The sequence below is a fragment of the Homo sapiens genome, chromosome 16 (assembly GCF_000001405.40).
Source record: "Homo sapiens chromosome 16, GRCh38.p14 Primary Assembly".
Lineage (NCBI taxonomy): Eukaryota > Metazoa > Chordata > Mammalia > Primates > Hominidae > Homo > Homo sapiens.
Genome location: NC_000016.10, coordinates 83,330,713 through 83,349,699, shown reverse-complemented (window position 1 = coordinate 83,349,699; position 18,987 = coordinate 83,330,713). Strand labels below are relative to the sequence as shown.

Genomic DNA, 18,987 nt, shown 5'->3' with positions numbered 1-18,987 from the left:
GAATGCAGGAGGCACAGGTTGCAGTGAGCTGAGATCATACTATTGCACTCCAGCCTGGGCAACAAGAGCAAAACTCCGTCTCAATAGTGATAATAATAATAATAATAATAATAATAATGCACCTCAAGTTGTCTGACTTCCTTTTCTGTACCTCACCTTACCTGGTATCTGTCCCTGTACCTCTCAAGCAAACCACAGGCAGGCCTCAATCTTCATCTCAGGGCCTGCTTCTGTGGGAGCCTGACATGCCATTCCTCATGGTCAGCCATTCTCAAAGGTGCCCAGGAAACCACCAGAGGGCAAAACACCCATGAATTGATGCCAACAAGACATGATGGGGCCTTGGAATTAGTGCCCTCCAGGAATTTCAAGAGTTCTCACCCTCTACCCCCTACTCATGAACACCATGTCTTGGCCATCAGAAAACACCAAACTCACACAGAGATCTGTATGCCCCCAAGGAGCAGCCAGAGCCTTGGCTTGGGCCTCATAAATCAATGTCTGTGGCTCTGCAAAAGCAACAGCTCACGATCTGCAAAGTCAAAGACCATTATGTTCTGCTGATCTTCCTTCATCCAGGAATGATTCACCAAAACAATACCCCGGAGTTCAGTGCTGAGCAGCCGGAATGGTCTCCTGTCTGCACATACAGATAAATATGGGTGACCTTCCTTTGTGATAGATTGGTGCCGAGGGCATTCGAACACATGGGGACATGAAAATGACGCGTGGTTTGCTGGAAGATGAATTTGTCTTCACACAACTCATGTGTCTCTTTGCTTTACCTTTGCTAAAGGGTACTCTTCCAGAATAAAAATAATAATTGCACTGTTAACAATACAAAGGCATTCATTGTACATTTACTGTTCCCTAAGCACTGGGTGAAGCATGTTGTCTCACTGAATCCTCACATATACTTCTCTAAGGTAGCTACTGTTATATTCTATCCCCATTTGCAGAGGGTCCTAGAAGGTTCAGTAACTTGCCCAATATCACACCGTGTTAAATAGCTGAGCACAGCGTCAAACACAGCTCTAGGCTACAATGCTGTGAGCAGGAACAGCCACATAATTTGTGACGCTCAGTGTAAAATGAAAATGCAGACACCTTGTTCAACAATTATTAAGAATTTCAACATGGTGACAGCAGAACGCTAAACCAAGCCCCAGGCCCTTCTGAGCATGGGACCCTTCTGTTCCCTTGGCTGTGTGAGGCCACAAAGGCTGTGCCCCATGAAGCTGCCTTTGGTTATGTAGGCTCAGAAAAAAGTGACATGAGTGGTGACAAAGGCCTCAACACTTAACACCGTTGAACCCTAGAGGTGATTCAATGGGCCTGGCTATTTCATCCGAAGAACTAGTCATTTTCTGTGAGGATCTAAATCAGTTCATCTGATAGAACTGCACAAATACTTCCCCCAGCTGGGCCTGCAAAGAGTCTGTGGTGTAAAACATGGAAACAAGAGAGCAGACCCAGTGGGTCACGTGGCTCTTAGGTTTCATTTTTTTCCTAGATGGAGTCTTTCTCTGTCGCCCAGGCTGGAGTGCAGTGGCGTGATCTTGGCTCACTGCAACTTCCGCCTCCTGGGTTCAAGCAATTCTCCTGCCTCAGCCTCCCGACTAGCTGGGATTACAGGCACCCACCACCGCACCCGGCTAATTTTTGTTTTTTTCGTAGCAATGGGGTTTCACCACATTGTCCAGGCTGGTCTCCAACTCCTGACCTCAAGATCCACACACCTCAGCCTCCCAAAGTACTGGGATTACAGGCTTGAGCCACTCCACCCAGCTGGTTCTTGGGTTTCTTGTAGCTCACACAAGGCCCAGGAAGAAATGCGGGCTATTGTAGACAGACCCGGACTAGTCTTTTGAGCATGATGCCAGTGCAGATGTGGCCAGAATTTGCAGAGAATTAAGGCAGATGTGGCAGCCTCTTACCAGCTAAGTAATCAACCATTCACCAAATTTTGAAGCTGGAGACGTAGACACTGATTGTGCCTTTTCCCCAGCCAGGTAACTTTGTCAAGTTCCTGAGCCTCTTTGATGTTCAGTTTTCTCATCTGTAAGATAGGGATAGTGGTAGCCACCTCTCAGGGCAGGAAGTGGGATCATGGATGAAATGATGTTGTACATATATGGCTGCTGGCACACAGTAAGTACTCGACGCAGTGCTATGATACCTGATGGCTGTGTTCACCATGAATTCAGCGGGACAGGTGAAAGAGCATATGATTTGAAGGCAGGTTATGCACTGACTCCCATCTTTTATTTGTGAGAGCATGGAAAATCATGGAACTCTTTCCAGAGTCAGCCCCCAACCCCAACCCCTACCCCCACCCAAACCCCACCCCTACCCCCACCCTTACTCCCAGTGGGTGTCGAATAATTTCTACAACACATGGGATCCTATGAGCCACAGATGAGCAGAGCATAATGGAAATACAAGAGACGATCATTTTTATAGCCAGTTAGGGTTTGTTATTACTTGTAAACGATTTAAGTTGAAGAAGAGGTTGGAAAGAGGATACCGTCTTCTTCATCAGATTCCCACTGGCCTCATGAATGCTTCGGGGGCCATCTTGCCTGCAACTCTCTTACAGGGTGCTAAGTAATCTAAGTGGCTTTTTGTTTGAAAGTCTTTTGCAACATTTCCACATTCTGGATCCCAAATCTGACTGATTCTATTTCACTGCGTGCTTTATAGTCCAACCCAGAGGGTGCTGAGAAAGAAAACAATGAATCCATACAGACACCTGAGTCTTTATGTATTTTTATAGGATAATACCAATCATAAATAGATATTTGAGGTGGTTTATGTTTTGCTGGAGAACTGTCTCTAACTGAATAACTCTGTGATTTAAGAAATTCAATGTGCATAAAGAACTCTATCTAAAAAATACACAAAAAACATACATAAAAAATACACAAAATAACATGTGCATAAAGAATTCAATGTGCAAAAAGAACTCTTTCTTCAAAAAATATTACATGTATATACATGTATCAAAAAATATTACATGTATCTGAAATTCTTTTCTAAACTTTAAGGACAGGCACAGTGGGAGGAAAATTGGACACCGTCTAATCATATACACACATAATATACAAAGACATGTGCAAGCTCACAGCCATCCCGAATGTAAGCACTGTCATTTACATTTAGAACACTTTCCCAGCCCATCTGAATTCTAGTCACTCACTCATGGGGCCCGAGTACCACAGATAGCAATTGGGAATCATTTTTCTGTTCTGCTCAAACTTTGGCCTCTTTAATCGCTTTCCTCATTGGTTCTCCAAATGTGTTCTGCACATCAGCTCGTTTAAGAAGATTTCTGTAAACATCAAACCGAAATTCTAGGGTGTTTCTCACCAGAAGCCATCTTTCCATCAAAAGCAGCTCACAGAGAGGGGCCACGTGGATTGTCTGCCCTGAAGTGACCTGACCTCCCTTCACCTGCCCTCTCTCCTTCTCTCCAGACCTGTCATTGCTCCTCTGCCATCTGCCTCCAACACTCCCCTAAACACCCTCCAGCACACACGCAGTGCATTTGCTTTCATTTTTACGGAGCGCATTTAAAGCTGGGAAGGAAGAGGGTCGCTCTTGCCCTTGGGGGATCTGATGCAGTGCATAAAGACCCAGCTCCTTGAAGCTGACGGGAGGTTTTAGGCATCTTGCATACAATTATCCACCTGGTTGTCTGGGAAGGTTACCATGGCAACATTTCCAGAGCCTCATGTATCTACATGTCACTGATAGATCCCATCAATTCAGAAAAGGGGGAAAAATAGTAAAAGCCGCTCTCATCTCCTGTCTGGTCTGACGAATCACTATTTTACCTATTTGGGCATAATCTAGGAGTATCATGATACTCTTAATATGATACTCTTAATATGGTGTTTTTTTTCACTCAAGTGTATTTTAAAGCTGAAAATCAAAGTGAGCCGAAGAGGAATTTTTCTGTTTTATTCTTTCATTTTCTCAAGCATTATACTTAGGAGTGACTTCAGCTGCTGGCTGTGGGATACTTTAATTTGTATGTATTGGGGCAAAAAAGGAAGCTCTAAATTCTAAAACCGTCCCTGATAGAAAGGTTAAACATGGGAAAAGACAGCGGGAGCTCTATAGTAACCTTGAGTGACTTCTATAACAGTAGGCACATGCATTTACGCATTTCCAGAGAGAGATATCAAACATCCTCCTTTTGGTCCTCTGACTGAAGACAAAAGATTTCTTCATGCACATCTTCTAAGGGAAGGGAAGAAGTCCTACCTATTTTACTAAAATAGTTCTTATTAAAAGGCCACTGTGAAAAGAAAGAACTGAGGAGTTTGTAATGGGGACCCAATTCTCATCAAAGCCCTGCTATAGCACAAAGTTTAGCCTTGGACTTTCACAAAGGTAAGCTGGATATTTACATGGTGCCCAACATCGGCCATGCCTTAGAGACTTAGATGGCAGTCATCCTTGGAGGATGATCTTCAGAGACAATGAAAGAGATTTCCGTAGCTTGCAACACCTCGGTCAAGCTTTGCACTTTAGCTTTCCAACCTGGCTTCTACGCAGGGAAGTATTAAGTCGACGCTGATACGAGCTGACAAGTTGGAACAGCCATAAGACAGTCCCTAGAATCCACAAAGATCAAAGTGTGCCTCTTTCCAAGCCATTACGCTAAAGGTAAGCCAATGTGACATACCTGTGGGTGACCCTTCCATGACGTGGCCGATGTAGGGGCCTTCCCGAAAGATCGGTCGGTTGTCATTCTGATCAATCACAATGACTTCCAGAGGCACCGGCCCCTCGAGAGTTTTGCCATTGACATCAGTGGTCTCCACAAATAGCTATTTGAGCAAAGAGATTGGGGGAGAAAGAAGATATTAATTCATTATGAAAATTCAAATAAGGTTCTCTAGAGAAAGTAGGTTATATCGACAATTTTATGAGCCCTTGGCAATATTGAAATTTTGGTCTCAGAGGATAGTCACTGGGACTAGAATAGAAATTGAACATTCCAGAATAAAAGGCAAAGATCAGTTCACTTTAGATCCCCCTTGGGAAATTTACAATTAATTCATCAAATCGGCAAAGAAAGTTAAAACAAAACAAAAAAACTCAAAACATAAACAGTCATAGCCAAGAAATTACGCTTGTATCATTTCTGTTTTCCCAATATCATTATGCTTAAAAGGAATGTTATGCTAATAAAAATAATTGACTAAGCAGTTATGAACCAAGTACATTAAGAGATAACCAAAAGTGTTTATGGCAATCTTTTAGGAGAAAGTCAGGTCAGTATTTGTTGGGGGCTTTCCTCAGGCTAGGAACTCAGAATTTGCAGGGGGCCTGAATGAGACCTCGGGATTCCTGCCCACCAGGCTGTTTACAATTTCGGAGGATTTCACAACACCATGAATCACTTCCATAGGGAACTACTTTCAGATCTCAATGAAGAAGGCAGCATAAAAAAACAACTTTTTTGTTTGTCTTGGAAACGAAGAATTATGTCATGGCATTTCCAGTGAATCACGGGGACCTTATGCGCACATTTTCTGTGCGTAATTCAACCTTGATTTAACTCAGCGATAAGAGTAATACTTCCTCTTGGATATAAGTGTTGGTCCCCGCATAGGAGTATTTTGATCAGAAAAGGGCATCTGCATTTGGAATCCTAGTACAACTCTTTCCTATCTGTGTGACCTTGAGCAAGACACTGGATCTCAGTTTTCTCATCTGTAAGTGGGGTTAACAAAAACACTCATTATTAGGAATAATAACAAACACTTATCCAGTGCTTACTTTAGCTCTATACTATATTATCTCACTTGATTGTCATAACAACCCTTTGGATCTTTTTACAGAGGAGAGAATGAAAGCAAAGAGAAGATAAATGGTGGAGTCCAGATTTGACCTTGGGAAGTCTGCCTCCAGAGCTCACTTTTTTAACCACTATAAACAATATTTCTAAAGCATTTAAATATGGTCTATCATATAATATGTCTCAAGAATATTAACTGCTGCTATTGTTGCTACAGTTATTATCAATACTATTGTCAAAAAAGAGCCCAAATTAGAAAAATGAAAGACAAACATTCTTGTTATAAATCAGTAGAGTCACATTCCACCTGATGGTATTGTAAACCAGTATAATCCTTTTCAAAAGCATGGCAAAATTCAACAGAAACCACGAAAGACTCATACTTTTGTTCCGTTTTTATACCACTCCTGATCCTATATAAGTTTGCACTACATATTTGGAACTATTCACTGCATTGTTATTTCTCAAAATAAAATTACACTGGCATCTGCCTGAACATCCAGTGGAAGGGAACTAGTTGAAGGAATGTTTGTGTAACAACATATTACAATACAATAATTTTTAAACTTTATTGATCTACTTAGAATATTGAGTAAAAATACACAAAATAACATGAGCATCATCATACATGACCTACAAATATGGATAGAATTTGAAGGCAGTGAGCAAAATGAAACCAGGTATGTGTGGGTAGATAATTTTTAAATTTTTTTCTTTAACATTACTTCATCCTTTTACCAGCAAATTCACACACAGACATACATACTTGATTTCTGGTGCAGATAAAATAATGCATGTAATAAGAAAAAATGAAGTGAACAGAGCCTCGTAATATCTGCACACAAAGGAGATCTCACAGAGAGTGAAATTTTATACTTTTATGTTTTTTTTAAGCTATTATGAGAATACTGCTAACAAAGGAAATCAATCAAAATAAAGCTCTGAGGCAATTTTATGTAATAACATAGGTCTGGTTTTTCATCTTCCCAAAATAGCCAAGGACTTGACTTTAACTCAACCAAAAAAAAAAAAAAAAAAAAAAAACAGAAACAAAAAAACACTGTGCCTAAAGATAACAAATATCTTGGATCTGAATCCTAAGATTCTACATTCTATAAGACTTGGCCAGTATCATAAGCTACAAGTAGGATAGGTAATCAGAATTCACATTTGCCAAATATTCAAATATGCTGAAACTGGGAAGGGCAGACAACAGATCCATCTTAACACAATGGAAAGAAAGACAGAAACTAAGGAGACACCATTGATTAGGATGAATACAGAATGTGGAGCTGAATCTCAGAAAACCAATTATGCAAACAGACAATCCAATGGTATTTTATGTTACAAAACTAATCAGAGTTTGACTCAGACTTTTCAGAGGACAATAATATCAACACAAGTCAAGACCTTTGGAATGGTCTCTAAAAACAGTGAAGGGCTGTTAAGTGGGATTTTCTTAAAGTTAATTTAATAAAAATTATTTGAGGACTCACTACATGTCAGCCATCACGCTGAACACCCTGGTATCCAGTGGTTAGCAGAAAAGATAACCCAGCATGGAAAGACAGGTGATAAACAAGAGAAAAAGATATGAACAAGATAATTTCAGTCACAGATGAGGGCTATGAAGGATATGAGACAGGTTTGAATACGAAAGCTTCACTACCCAATACTGTAGCTGCTAGCCACATATGGCTATTGCAATTTACATTTATTAAAATGAAAAAACTCAGTACTCCAGTCAAACTAGGAACGTTTTGAGTGCTCAGTAGCCACATGCAGGTAGTAGTTACCATATTAGACAACACAGATGTAGAACATTTCCATCACTGGGTAGAGTATGATTGACAAAGTGTGTGTGTGTGTGTGTGTGTGTGTGTGTGTGTGTGTGTGTGGCAGGGGACACCTATTCAAAATAAATGGTGGAGAAAACCTTATTGCTGAGGGAATGTTTCAGCTGAGGCTTGAATGACAAGAAAGTGGAAAGAGATAGCCATACAAAACACATGGAAAATGATTTCTAGACCGCAGGAATAGCAATAGCAGACTCTGAGGTAAGGATGAACTTGGAACTAATTGGAACTAATTTAGGAGTGGGGAATGGTATAAGATCAAGTCAAAGAATTAGGACTCTGCTCAACTCCGAATGGAGTAAGTTAAGGCTTATGTCCATACAAGAGTTTTTGCGTAGAACAATCTAAACCAAGTGAAGAATGAAGACATTTTCTTCCTATGAGTCCCTGGGAAGGCAGAGATGAGAAAGAAGTATATCATGCTTGATCCCCACAGAGGAAAACATAGTAGACTGAATAAAATATATAATAGGAAATGTTTGTGTTTTATGCAGAGGTTCATCCAGTTTTAAAATCATCTTATTAATGATGTGGATGAAAATTAAGCACATGCATATGCATGAGGAAGTTGTTAGTAAATACAGCCTTATCCACCCAATCACATACCGTAACAAAATCTGACATTCCCGTGAGTTTTCATCACTGTTCTCATACGAAGGTCAGACCCACAGTTAGCAAATGCCAAACTTTCTGAAGTCAGGCTCTTGAATTCCAGCGCATCCTCCAGTATCAGAGAATAAATGTTCAATAACGTTCTTGCCTGCCTTCTTTCTTCCTAATTGAAATACCCAAAGCACACAAAACCTTAGTTTGAAAAGACTGGAATAATGCTTGTTTCCTTTGAATTACATGATAGATTCAAGTGGCTGTGTTTGGGTTCTAAAAACAAAACAACCTCATATGCATTCAAAGGGAGGCATTCTGATGCTTGTTCTTTATGTTAGAAGTGAGATGCCACTTGGTAGAAACCTACTGTGAGAAAAACAAATAGGTAGGCATGGCAGAAGGCAATGAAATACTTGCTCAAAGGAAATGGAAACCACCCAGGCCCTCATTGCCTACTTCAAGACCACCCCTTCAGACATGAGGATTTCTATTCTTAGATTCAATGGTTGACCTGCATGGGAATAACAAGGTGTGATATTAAAAAAAAAGTCCACTGTGGAGGCAGATGAGAGGGGCACTCAACAAATGACAGCTAGAAACAGTTATCCAATGTTGCAGGATTTTAATAACTAATTCCATAGTAGGTAGCCTGAACTCCGAGCAATTACACATCTGACCAATGTCTGTGCTGTGTGTTCTAGTACCTTGCTATTCAAAGGTCAGTCTCCAAGCCAGCAGCATTGGCATCCCCCAGGAGCTGGTTAGAAATGCAGGCTCCTCGGTCCTGTCTAGATCCTACAGAGGAAACCCATTTTAACATTGTTTCTAGAGAATTCGGGTGCACATTACTGTTTGAGTGATGTTGTACTGAGACACAGGGGTTGGAGATGGAAATCCAAGGGTCTTGTGGAATTTGGGAACTGTATTCCCAGGTTCAGCTATAGGAAAATAAAATAAGCTCCAAACAGGAGGCTGAGTCTTGCCACCTGCTAGGAATTTCACTGTGTGGCTGTTGGACTCATTCACCACTCCCAAGTACACAGGCCAGGAAGACAGATGTTTGTAGGTCTATCTGGAGCAGCACGCACATGCGCACATACACACACACACACACACACACTCAGATGTAGGCAGACATATGTACATGTACCACAGACATAGCACACACATACAAATATACACATACATTTCCCATAAACATCAATTTTTTCCAATGTCCTTCTAATCTTCAACTGTGCATGCTGAATGCTTAAAAATCATATTTTGTCTGATCACTTTTTGAGAAGCTGTCAAATACAAAAGTAGAAGGAAATTGGTTATTAATTGAAAAGTGAAACATTGCAGAAAACAAAGTATAATGGAGAGGTCCCAGAGATGGGAAAGGTCACAGAGAATGGTGATGAGTGTTGGGGGGCCCTGTATTGCCTTAGCCTTGGTGTGATTTTTGGACCCCAACAGAATTATTTTCCTCCATTGAGATGAAATATCCCAGGGAGGAGTAACTCATTCAGCTTTATCACAGTGGGCCTATGGATCATCCAGGGAAGTGGGTAAAATCAGATTCTTTAGGAATTTATGTTTAAACCAGCACTTTGAGAGATTCTAGTGCTAGTGGTTTCCTGCTCACACGGTGGAAAGCTTGGCTGATCATGGGAGGGAGATCCAGATGCCACCTGCACTGGTGGGAGAGGTGGAGGGGAGAATTGCTGGAGGTGGGGGACATCTGTGAAAGGCTGACTGGAGGGCTTTAAGGAGCTGTGGAAAGAGCACTGGACCTGGATTCAGGAGACCTGATACTGAATCCTGCTGACACACCAGATCCGGGCCCTGAGCAGAGCATGCACCTCTCCGTATCCTGGTTTTTGTGTTATTAATAAGAGCCCACCATGGTGACTTTGCAGGATCTTGGTGCAGATTAACTAAAATAACACATGAAAGTGTCTGATACAAAGCTGGTACTGAGTCTGAAGTCAAATATTACTCCCCAGTTTTTAGGGGCCCAGCTTTATCCTTTCCTAGAGAGGGCAAAACTATTTTACATTTATAATAACTTAATTAAAATATTATTGACATCATTGGAGGCAAGGATTTTTGAGCAACCAGAAAGTATGATAAATACAGTTGCATGTTTATCATTTTGCTCTAAATATTGTCTAGAGGATGGCTCCTCTCTCAGGGATCAAGGAAGGAGAAACTCATGAGTCATTCTCTTCCTCAAATGAAACCTTCTCTTCTATCCGCAGCCACTCTATCAACATATCCTGCCCACATCCATTGTTTCACTTCCTGAATGTCCCCTTTTCTCTCCATCCCCCTCAACACTCCTTGAGATTAGCTTCTGTCACTTCTCACCAGGGCTACTGTGCAAGGCGCCCTGTGGGTCTTCCTGCACAGCCATGACTGCCTGCCACCATCTGTTTTCTATAGGGCTTCCAGGGTGTCTTTGTCAATGTTTATTGATTTATGTCACCCTCTATTGGATACCTTTCAATGGTTTCTCATCACTCTTAGGAAAAACAGCAAATACCTTTGCTTTGACAAGTCTTTCTGTAATCTGGCCACAGCCCACTTCCTCACACTCATTTCATGTTACAAGGAATCCCTCTTCTTCCTTATTATCCAGTTACACTCATCTTTTTTCAGTTCTTCCAACTCATCACATCCTTTCTTGCAGGTATTTTTACATACAACCCTCCTACCAACCATGGGTTTCCTACCTACGCTTCCTTGCTGCCGCTATTCATCCTTCAGATCTTGGCCCAAATATCAAGAAGAGCCTCCCTTACTCCTCCAGAACAGCTAGGGTGTCCCTGGCTTACATTCCCATGGCGTCAGCCTCCTTGCTTTGTAACACTTCCCATGGGTTATTACCTATTGGTGTGATAATTCAATTTACGTCTACCTCTCTGTCTGGCCACATGAGGACGGGAGTTTATTAGCAAATCCTGAAGCCTGGACCCAATGCCTGGTGCCAAACAGGTAGCTGATATGATATTGACTGCAGAGAGCCCTCTTTGGAAGAGGCTATGCCTCTTTAAGAGACTGGAATCCAAAGTTTTGGCCTGAGCTCTGGCCATCTGTCCTTTCTCTCCATCTCCGGCATATTACAGCTGACAGTTGGTCTGACTCCATGGACTCTAGGCTGGTGGACTCTGTAGCCTTAAATGATGAAGAAGAATCCCAGTGGTAAACAATATCAGAGTACATTAAACTGATTACTTGTTTTTTTTTTTTTTTTTTTAAAAAGAAGAGGACTAACATTGATTTGGTGTCCCATACAGGTCTGGCCTTTTTTTGCACTGTCTCATTTGGCTTAAAACAATCTGAACAAATACTCATCGCAGCAAAGAAATTTAAGGACCTGGTCCATGGTGTCAAAGCTGATTTGTCATCAGCCTGAACTCAAACTTAGGTCCGACTGTAACACTCACATTCCCCTCACTGTGCTCACACTTGCTGAATGTTTTTGCATGGACTCCCTTACATTTTTTTTGTTTCATTATCTTTACTAAGCTATTTACTTAGTAGCTTTGCTTTACATTGATTGCTACTTTTTACTCTTGCCTCATTTGTGGCAAAATCATCCATGAATTGAGGAGCTTAATGAGTTTCTTATATATTTTTATTAATACACATGAAGCTACACATTAAACCACACAATGAGCGTCTGTATATTATGTAGCATCCTGCCACAAACTAAAGGCTGCGAAATATTATAGTATCAGCCTAGCTACCACATAGTTCCTTCCATGACACTACACACTTTCTGAAAAGCAAAAAAAAAAAAAAAAAAAAAAAAAAAAATACGCTTGTCAATTTAATTCTCAAATGACAACAGTGAATAATATGGTGAGGGAGACAGAGGATGCAAATCACCTCTAATTTGTTTAAAGCAAAAATACTTTATCCAAAGGTGGAGACACTAAGATACCGCCTGAATATTTTCTGTACTTCAAGGGGGCATGGTAGATGGGCACTAGGTTGTTAGCCCTGATCTTCTGAGTCCTGAGAATGGGAGGAAAAAAGGGGCTCAACTCCTGAAATGGAGAAGGAGCTAAAGAAAAACCACAGGAGCCAGAAGGGAAGCTAAGTTGGAGAGCAGTTTCAGCCTTGAGTTTAGGGCCCTGTTGTCCACCCTTCCTGGCATCCCAGCACCTGGGTTCCTCTACTCTCTTTCCATACTGTGGGGGGTTGGGTGAGCAGGTATCCAGTAGAAATGTGAACCATCAAGTCACAGTACGCAAAACAATGATTCTTCAAGCCAATTAATTCACCACACTAATAGGAATTGGCTGTACGTAAAATGCTTTGAAAAGAATCCCTTAAAAATGCAAGAACATAATGAACCAAATTACAAAGCCTGCGTGGCCTTCAGCTTCATGGCGAACTATTAACAGCTTGCCCTTCATTTGAGTCATCCTCTCATCTTCAGCCATGAAAGACACAATTTAGTCCGACAAAATTTGACACTGAGATCTTACCCAAAGGGATGTACTGATGAAAAACAAAATGTGTTACAAGGTTTCTTGGGTGAAGGCCAAAATGCAGAAGCTGGCTCTTAAAAGCCAATATTTTTTGTAATATGAGATGACCCAAGCAACACATGCAAAATCTAGATCAACAGAATCAGAAACAAAGCATGACACACAGTCCATGGACTTGTGAGTCATTCCGAAGAGAAATGATTTAGAAAACAGTTTGATGACCTCTTTAACTCTGATGATTCTTCTTTGGGCAAAATATGCAAATAAAGCAAAACACAGACACACACAGAGCTTTTTTGAGATGATATAGTTCAACATTCGATCAATGGATTGTGTGTGCACAGGATTTTCAGATGTAAGTTTTCAAATCACACAGAATCAAAGCACACAGTAGTTACATCTCTAACACAATGTGACTCCGTTTCTATTTTGCAGACAGATAAGATATCTCTCACCTGAATAAGTATTTTCCCTCCGAATTACCTCTCTGGGGCACTAAAATGTTTTTTAGCGTAGATGCTGCCACTGCCGTTATCTCTGGAATACCTCTTCAGAAACTTCTATTGGAACCCGTCTATAAGTCACAAACAAGAAGGAATCTCATTGCTTTCATTCCAAATTTCTTTTTTTTTTTTTTTTTTGAGATGGAGTCTTGCTCTGTCACCCATGCTGGAGTACAGTGGCGTGATCTTGGTTCACTGCAATCTCTGCCTCCCAGGTTCAAGCGATTCTCCTGTCTCAGCCTCCTGAGTAGCTGCGATTACAGATATGTACCACTACCCCTGGCAAATTTTTGTATTTTTAGCAGAGACGGGGTTTCACCATATTGGTCAGGCGGGTCTCGAACTCCTGACCTCAGGTGATCCACCCACCTCAGGCACCCAAAGTGCTGAGATTACAGGTGTGAGCTACCATGCCTGGCCCCAAATATCTAGTAATAGAATATAGCTGTAGGGCTGTAACAGGACAAGCCGCAGACAAAAGTCCTCAGACACCGAGTTAAAGAAGGAAGGGGTTTATTCAGCCGGGGGCATCGGCAAGATTCCTGTCTCAAGAGCCAAGCCCCCCAAGTGAGCAATTCCTGTCCCTTTTAAGGGCTCACAACTCTAAGGGGGTGCACGTGAGAGGGTCGTGATCGATTGAGCAAGCAGGGGGTACGTGACTGGGGTCTGCATGCACCGGTAATTAGATCGGAACAAAACAGGATAGGGATTTTCACAGTGCTTTTCTATACAATTTCTGTAACCTATAGATAACATAACGGATTAGGTCAGGGGTCAATCTTTAACTACAAGGCCCAGGGTGTGGCGCTGGGCCGTCTGCTTGCGGATTTCATTTCTGCCTTTTAGTTTTTACTTTTTCCTTCTTTGGAGGCAGAAATTGGGCATAAGACAATATGAGGGATGGTCTCCTCCCTTAGGGCAAGAAACATAAAATGATCATCAGAAGCTCACTACATGTAAGCAGGGATGTACAAGTCTTAACACTGCCATCTCTCCAGCTAAACATGACTGTAAGTTCAGACAAAGGAACTGTGTGTGTGTGTGTTTGACTCACACAAAACCTTGAAATGCACATGAAAAATAACATGCCAGCATTTGCCCCCAGATAAAGAAAAGTTAAGAGCCGGTAATTGTTAAGGGTACAGTGACACAAACACAAGGATCACCGTAGTGGAATCTCAACTTGATACAATCTTCCTGGAAGGCAGTCTGAAAGTATGTCTCAAGAACCACAGAGATGTTCAAAGCTTAAAACAAAATTCTGCAGAGATTCCATGGAAATAAGCCCACAAAGATTTTTGTGTCAGTATACTATATTGTTTATTTATAACAGATAATCTTGCAAGGTAGAGTGTGATTGGAAGATTTTTTAAGTGATATTTTCCACCATGGATACAATGTTTGTTGTGATAAGACAGGAAATGATAACATTAATCCTAACCCAGTTTATTAATGTGACACTTACATTGCCCTTACTTTTTACACCTGAGTCCTTACATATGAATATATTATCAATATATGTACAGGCTTGGTAGGCAGATTTAGATGAAAATATACTCATGGTCCAATTAGATCATCACGATGTGTGGGTAAGAGTACTCTATCTACATATCCTTTCTAAAATTTAGTGCCTTAAACAAAGACATACTGATAAATCTTTTCATGAAGTTTCGGTCTACAATTCTCATACTCTCTCCACCTCCCAAATTAAGGTTGCCAATGGAATTAAGGTTGCTGATCAGCTGGCTTTAAAACAGAGATTGGGCCAGGTATGGTGGCTCATGCCTGTAATCTCAGCACTTTGGAGGGCTAAGGCGGGAGGAATGATTGAACCCAGGAGTTTGAGACCAGCCTGAGCAATGTAGAGAGACTGCCATCTCTGTATTTTTTTTTTTTTAAACTAGCCAGGAGTGGCGGTGCATGCCTGTACTCCCAGCTACTCAGGAGGGTGAGGTAGGAGGATCACTTGAGCCCGGAAGGTTGAAGCTGCAGGGAGCTGTGATTGTGCAACTGCACTCTAGCCTAGGTGACAGAGGGAGATTCTGTGTGTGTGTGTGTGTGTGTGTGTGTGTGTGTGAGAGAGAGAGAGAGAGAGAGGGAGAAAGGGAGAGAGGGAGATAGGGAGAGAGGGGGGAGAGAGAGGGAGAGAGAGAGAAAGGAGGAAGAAAGAGAGAAACAGAGAGAGAGACAGACAGACAGAAAGACTAGCATGAATTATATGGCATCTGGCTAGGCCCAATATAATCATGAGTCGTTAAGAGGGAGGAAGAAGCGAAGGTCAGAGTGATGGGATATGTGAAGGACATGAACAGCTGTTGCTGGCTTTGAGGATGGAGAAAGGTACCATGAGGCCAGGAATGTGCGTGGCCTTTAGAAGCTAGAAAAGGCAAGGAAATGGGTTTTTCCCCAAGAGCTTCCAGGAGTGAAGGTAGCCCTGCGGACACCTTGATTTTACCCTGACACATGTTGGATTCTCAGCTTACAGAACTGCAAGATAAGATTTGTGTTGTTTTGAGTCACTGTGTGGTAATTTACTACAGCAGCCATAGGACATTAATACAGTGGCCACATAATTTATTGTCCAAACCAGAATCTTCTTAGAATAAAAGTAGGTACCATTAACAATGAAGCCGAAACAACAGGTGCAAACCAAAGCTGTCCTGGGCAAAATGGGTCATGTGATCATGCTCTCTTACTAAGAAACTTCAGCTTTCCAGGTTTTAGTTTCCACCATAGCAACATATGGTGTTTAGAATACCACTCTCGGTTTTATTGTTAAATAAATAAAAAGATAAATGAGCATGTGTACACAGAAATTCCCAGCAAGTAGAAATACTAAACAAAGCTTTGTTAGACCTTAGCGGGAGTATGGTGACCTTGGAATGCCATCTTCCTGGCAACATCACTACCAGCCACAGCCTCGTCACAGGTCAAGATTTCAAAGGTAGTCCAAAGAGCAGCACCCTGACAGTCTCCCAGAAGAGCAGGGGGAGGCTGGGCAATCTGAGAGAGGTGCCAATCATCCCCATAGGACCACCCCCGCTCCGTAAGGAAATCAGTCATTCCCAGTAGATCTTTATGTAGAAACCTGCAAATGTGGATGCAGTATACTAGATTCAATTCCTATTTGTCAGCCATTATTCCTTTGAAATTGCTTTTCTATTACCGTAATCCAGGTTTCTCTCTGACGCCAACAACTTGCATTTCAAGCTATTTTTCTTAGTTTTATTTCACTTATTCAAGTTAAATGTCATTACGGACCAACTCCTAGAGAGTTCCCAGGGAAAAGACATTTTAAGCCCTTTGTAACATTCCTCCACCTTCATTTATCCCCCGCTTGACAGACTGGATGTGGTGTTTATATCTCCTTATAAAAACGATCAAAGGGGCGATAAAAGTTTCCTACTTGTTAGGTTATTAATTAAAGATCTTGATACTATTATCAAATGTTCTTTGAAAATCCTGCTCTGCTTAGAGGTACAGTATTTCCTTTATGAATTTGAAATTTTACTTTAAAATTTTTGTTTCATCAAACATAATGAAAACATTTTTTCTTATGTGTATGCACGCTCACAATCACACTAGACTTTCAGGGCATTCTTAAACATTTAACTTTTGAAGTAACTTTAATTATGTGGAAGAAATCTATGCAGATATTCAAAATAATTTTATGTAAGCAGCTTGAGTAAAGTCCTAGTGAATATCCTCTGCCTCAAGAGGTGACACAGGCTAAAAATTTTAATTGGTTCAAGTAGAACTTATATAACTCTTGGATGATGGAATTATGCCAGATCTATTAAGGATATGTACAAGGGTTAAGGGGATTTTTGTGCAAAGATGGGAAATATAATACTTTAGAAAACAAAGCCAGCAGAGAGAAATTACTGGGGATTGTATTTTTACGTGCCCTTTTTCCTTTCCTAATGTGAAATTCAGAGGAATAGAAATAAATGCAATACCTTTTTTTTAAGTTTACAGTTTTAAAGTCATTTTGTTAAGTAAGTGTTAAAATGTGTTTTATCAAACATGATGTTCTTAAAAAAATTAGGGTTGATACATACAAATTTAAAGTATAGTCTAATGAATTCCAGATGGATTTAAGTATTAGGAGGAATAAAGTCATTGAATATTTAAGTAATACAGGGGAGAAGGCCCTTCTAAGCCACCATTAGAGCTCTAATTTATTGCGTGAATTACTGACAGATTAAACTACTGAAATGCAGGTTTTACAACAACTAAAATATTATATGAAAATAAACAGAAAACTGTAAAAAAATTTGCATCACATATATTTATAGCATGTTATATATTGTAACAATTTATAAAATTGTTACAATAATTAGAAAAAGTTCATAGTGTTTGACAGACTTATGAGGAAATAAACTCTCATATATTATCAATTACATGAAAAAATCTTTCCGAAATGCAATTTGTTAACACCCATCACAAGCTTTGAAAATTTCACTTGTAGAAATTTAGCCTGATATGTGCGTGTGTGGTTGTGTGTGTATGTGTGTAGCAACATGTATACTCATTACAATATTGCTTAAAGATAGAAAAAACTACAATCAACACAATGTTATAAAAGATTGATGAAAGAAACTATGGTATCTGCAGAAAGTACAACACTGCATTGCAGACACACTTTAGAGAATGTAAAAATATACTAATGGTATAGTATGCATGTTAAGAAGTACAAATTCTGACTAAAACTAGTGTATACATAATGCAATTTTTAAAAAATAAAGGCATTCCACTATCAAGATTATGCTAAAATATTAACAGTGGTTTTATTGAGTGATTTTTCTTTGCTTTGCTATACTTTCTAGATTTTTCTAGGCATGTGTTAATTTCAAAGTTAAAAAAGAAATCAATAAGGTTTTTATTTTAAGATTGTAACTTGTTCAGGCAGTGACTACACACTGACTAGAGTTTATTACAAATGGGGAGCTATGGGTGGCTGTTAAACTCTAAGACATGCAACATCCCTCAGCATTGATGATTAATGAGAAAGAAACACACATTAAGTACATAGGACATCATCAGTATTATAGTACCATACAGAGTGTGGCTGGCTTTTCTAGTCTTTACAGTTCTACAGTTTTGGGATTATAAAAAGAGTCTCAATGCACCTGACAGAACTTGGTCTCCTCAGCTTTATTTTTGGAGCCATCGCTGTTATCACTCTCTGCTTCTTCTCTGAAGCTTCACTTTTAATCTCACACATAAATTCTGAGAACTAGAAAACAGCTGAGATTCCAAAGGTGGGTTTTAGATTCAGGGAGACTGTACTTTAAGGCCCAAGTCCGTCCCTTATCAGCTGTGTGATTGTTTAAGGTACTCAGTCACCTTCTCAGAATCTCAATTTCCTCATCTTTGAGATGGAAGAACAGGAACCATCTCACAGAAAATAAATATTTGTAAAGCATTTAGCAAAACACTTGCCACATAGCAATCATTAAGTAAATATTATCCACCAGTATCCTTAAATTTTGCCTAAAGAGAGAGAAACATCCCATCGCATTATGTTCCTGATAAGGGTTTACAGTCTCAAGCATCTAAGAAGCGTCTTTTGCATGTTGCTGATGCTGCCTGCAGGAATCTGAAACTCATTCAGAATTAAGAGGAAGCATAGGGCTCATGTGACCAAGTCCCCTGTTCCAACCTTCGTATGAGGAGTGATTTGGGCTGAGGTCATGGACCCCACGCCACCCCATTCCCAGGAC

The 18,987-nt window shown here is 40.5% G+C and overlaps 1 protein-coding gene across 6 annotated transcripts in view, besides 1 other annotated feature; it reads right to left on the bottom strand.

Moving 5' to 3' along the window:
• Positions 1 to 18,987, bottom strand: part of CDH13 (cadherin 13) — a 1,173,672-nt gene that overhangs the window by 450,941 nt on the left and 703,744 nt on the right. For all 6 annotated transcript variants that reach the window (NM_001220488.2, NM_001257.5, NM_001220489.2 and 3 more), the window contains one exon: positions 4,694 to 4,838. In NM_001220488.2, the coding sequence (NP_001207417.1) occupies positions 4,694 to 4,838 (145 nt within the window). The remainder of the gene's footprint in view (positions 1 to 4,693; positions 4,839 to 18,987) is intronic.
• Positions 4,477 to 5,676: an enhancer, noted in NCBI's record as "P300/CBP strongly-dependent group 1 enhancer chr16:83377629-83378828 (GRCh37/hg19 assembly coordinates)". NCBI's record gives its function as "activates an origin of replication core promoter dependent on BRD2, BRD4, P300/CBP, MED14 and CDK7 cofactors, with strong dependence on P300/CBP, by STARR-seq in HCT116 cells {active_cell/tissue: HCT116}" and the evidence as "EXISTENCE:reporter gene assay evidence [ECO:0000049][PMID:35650434]".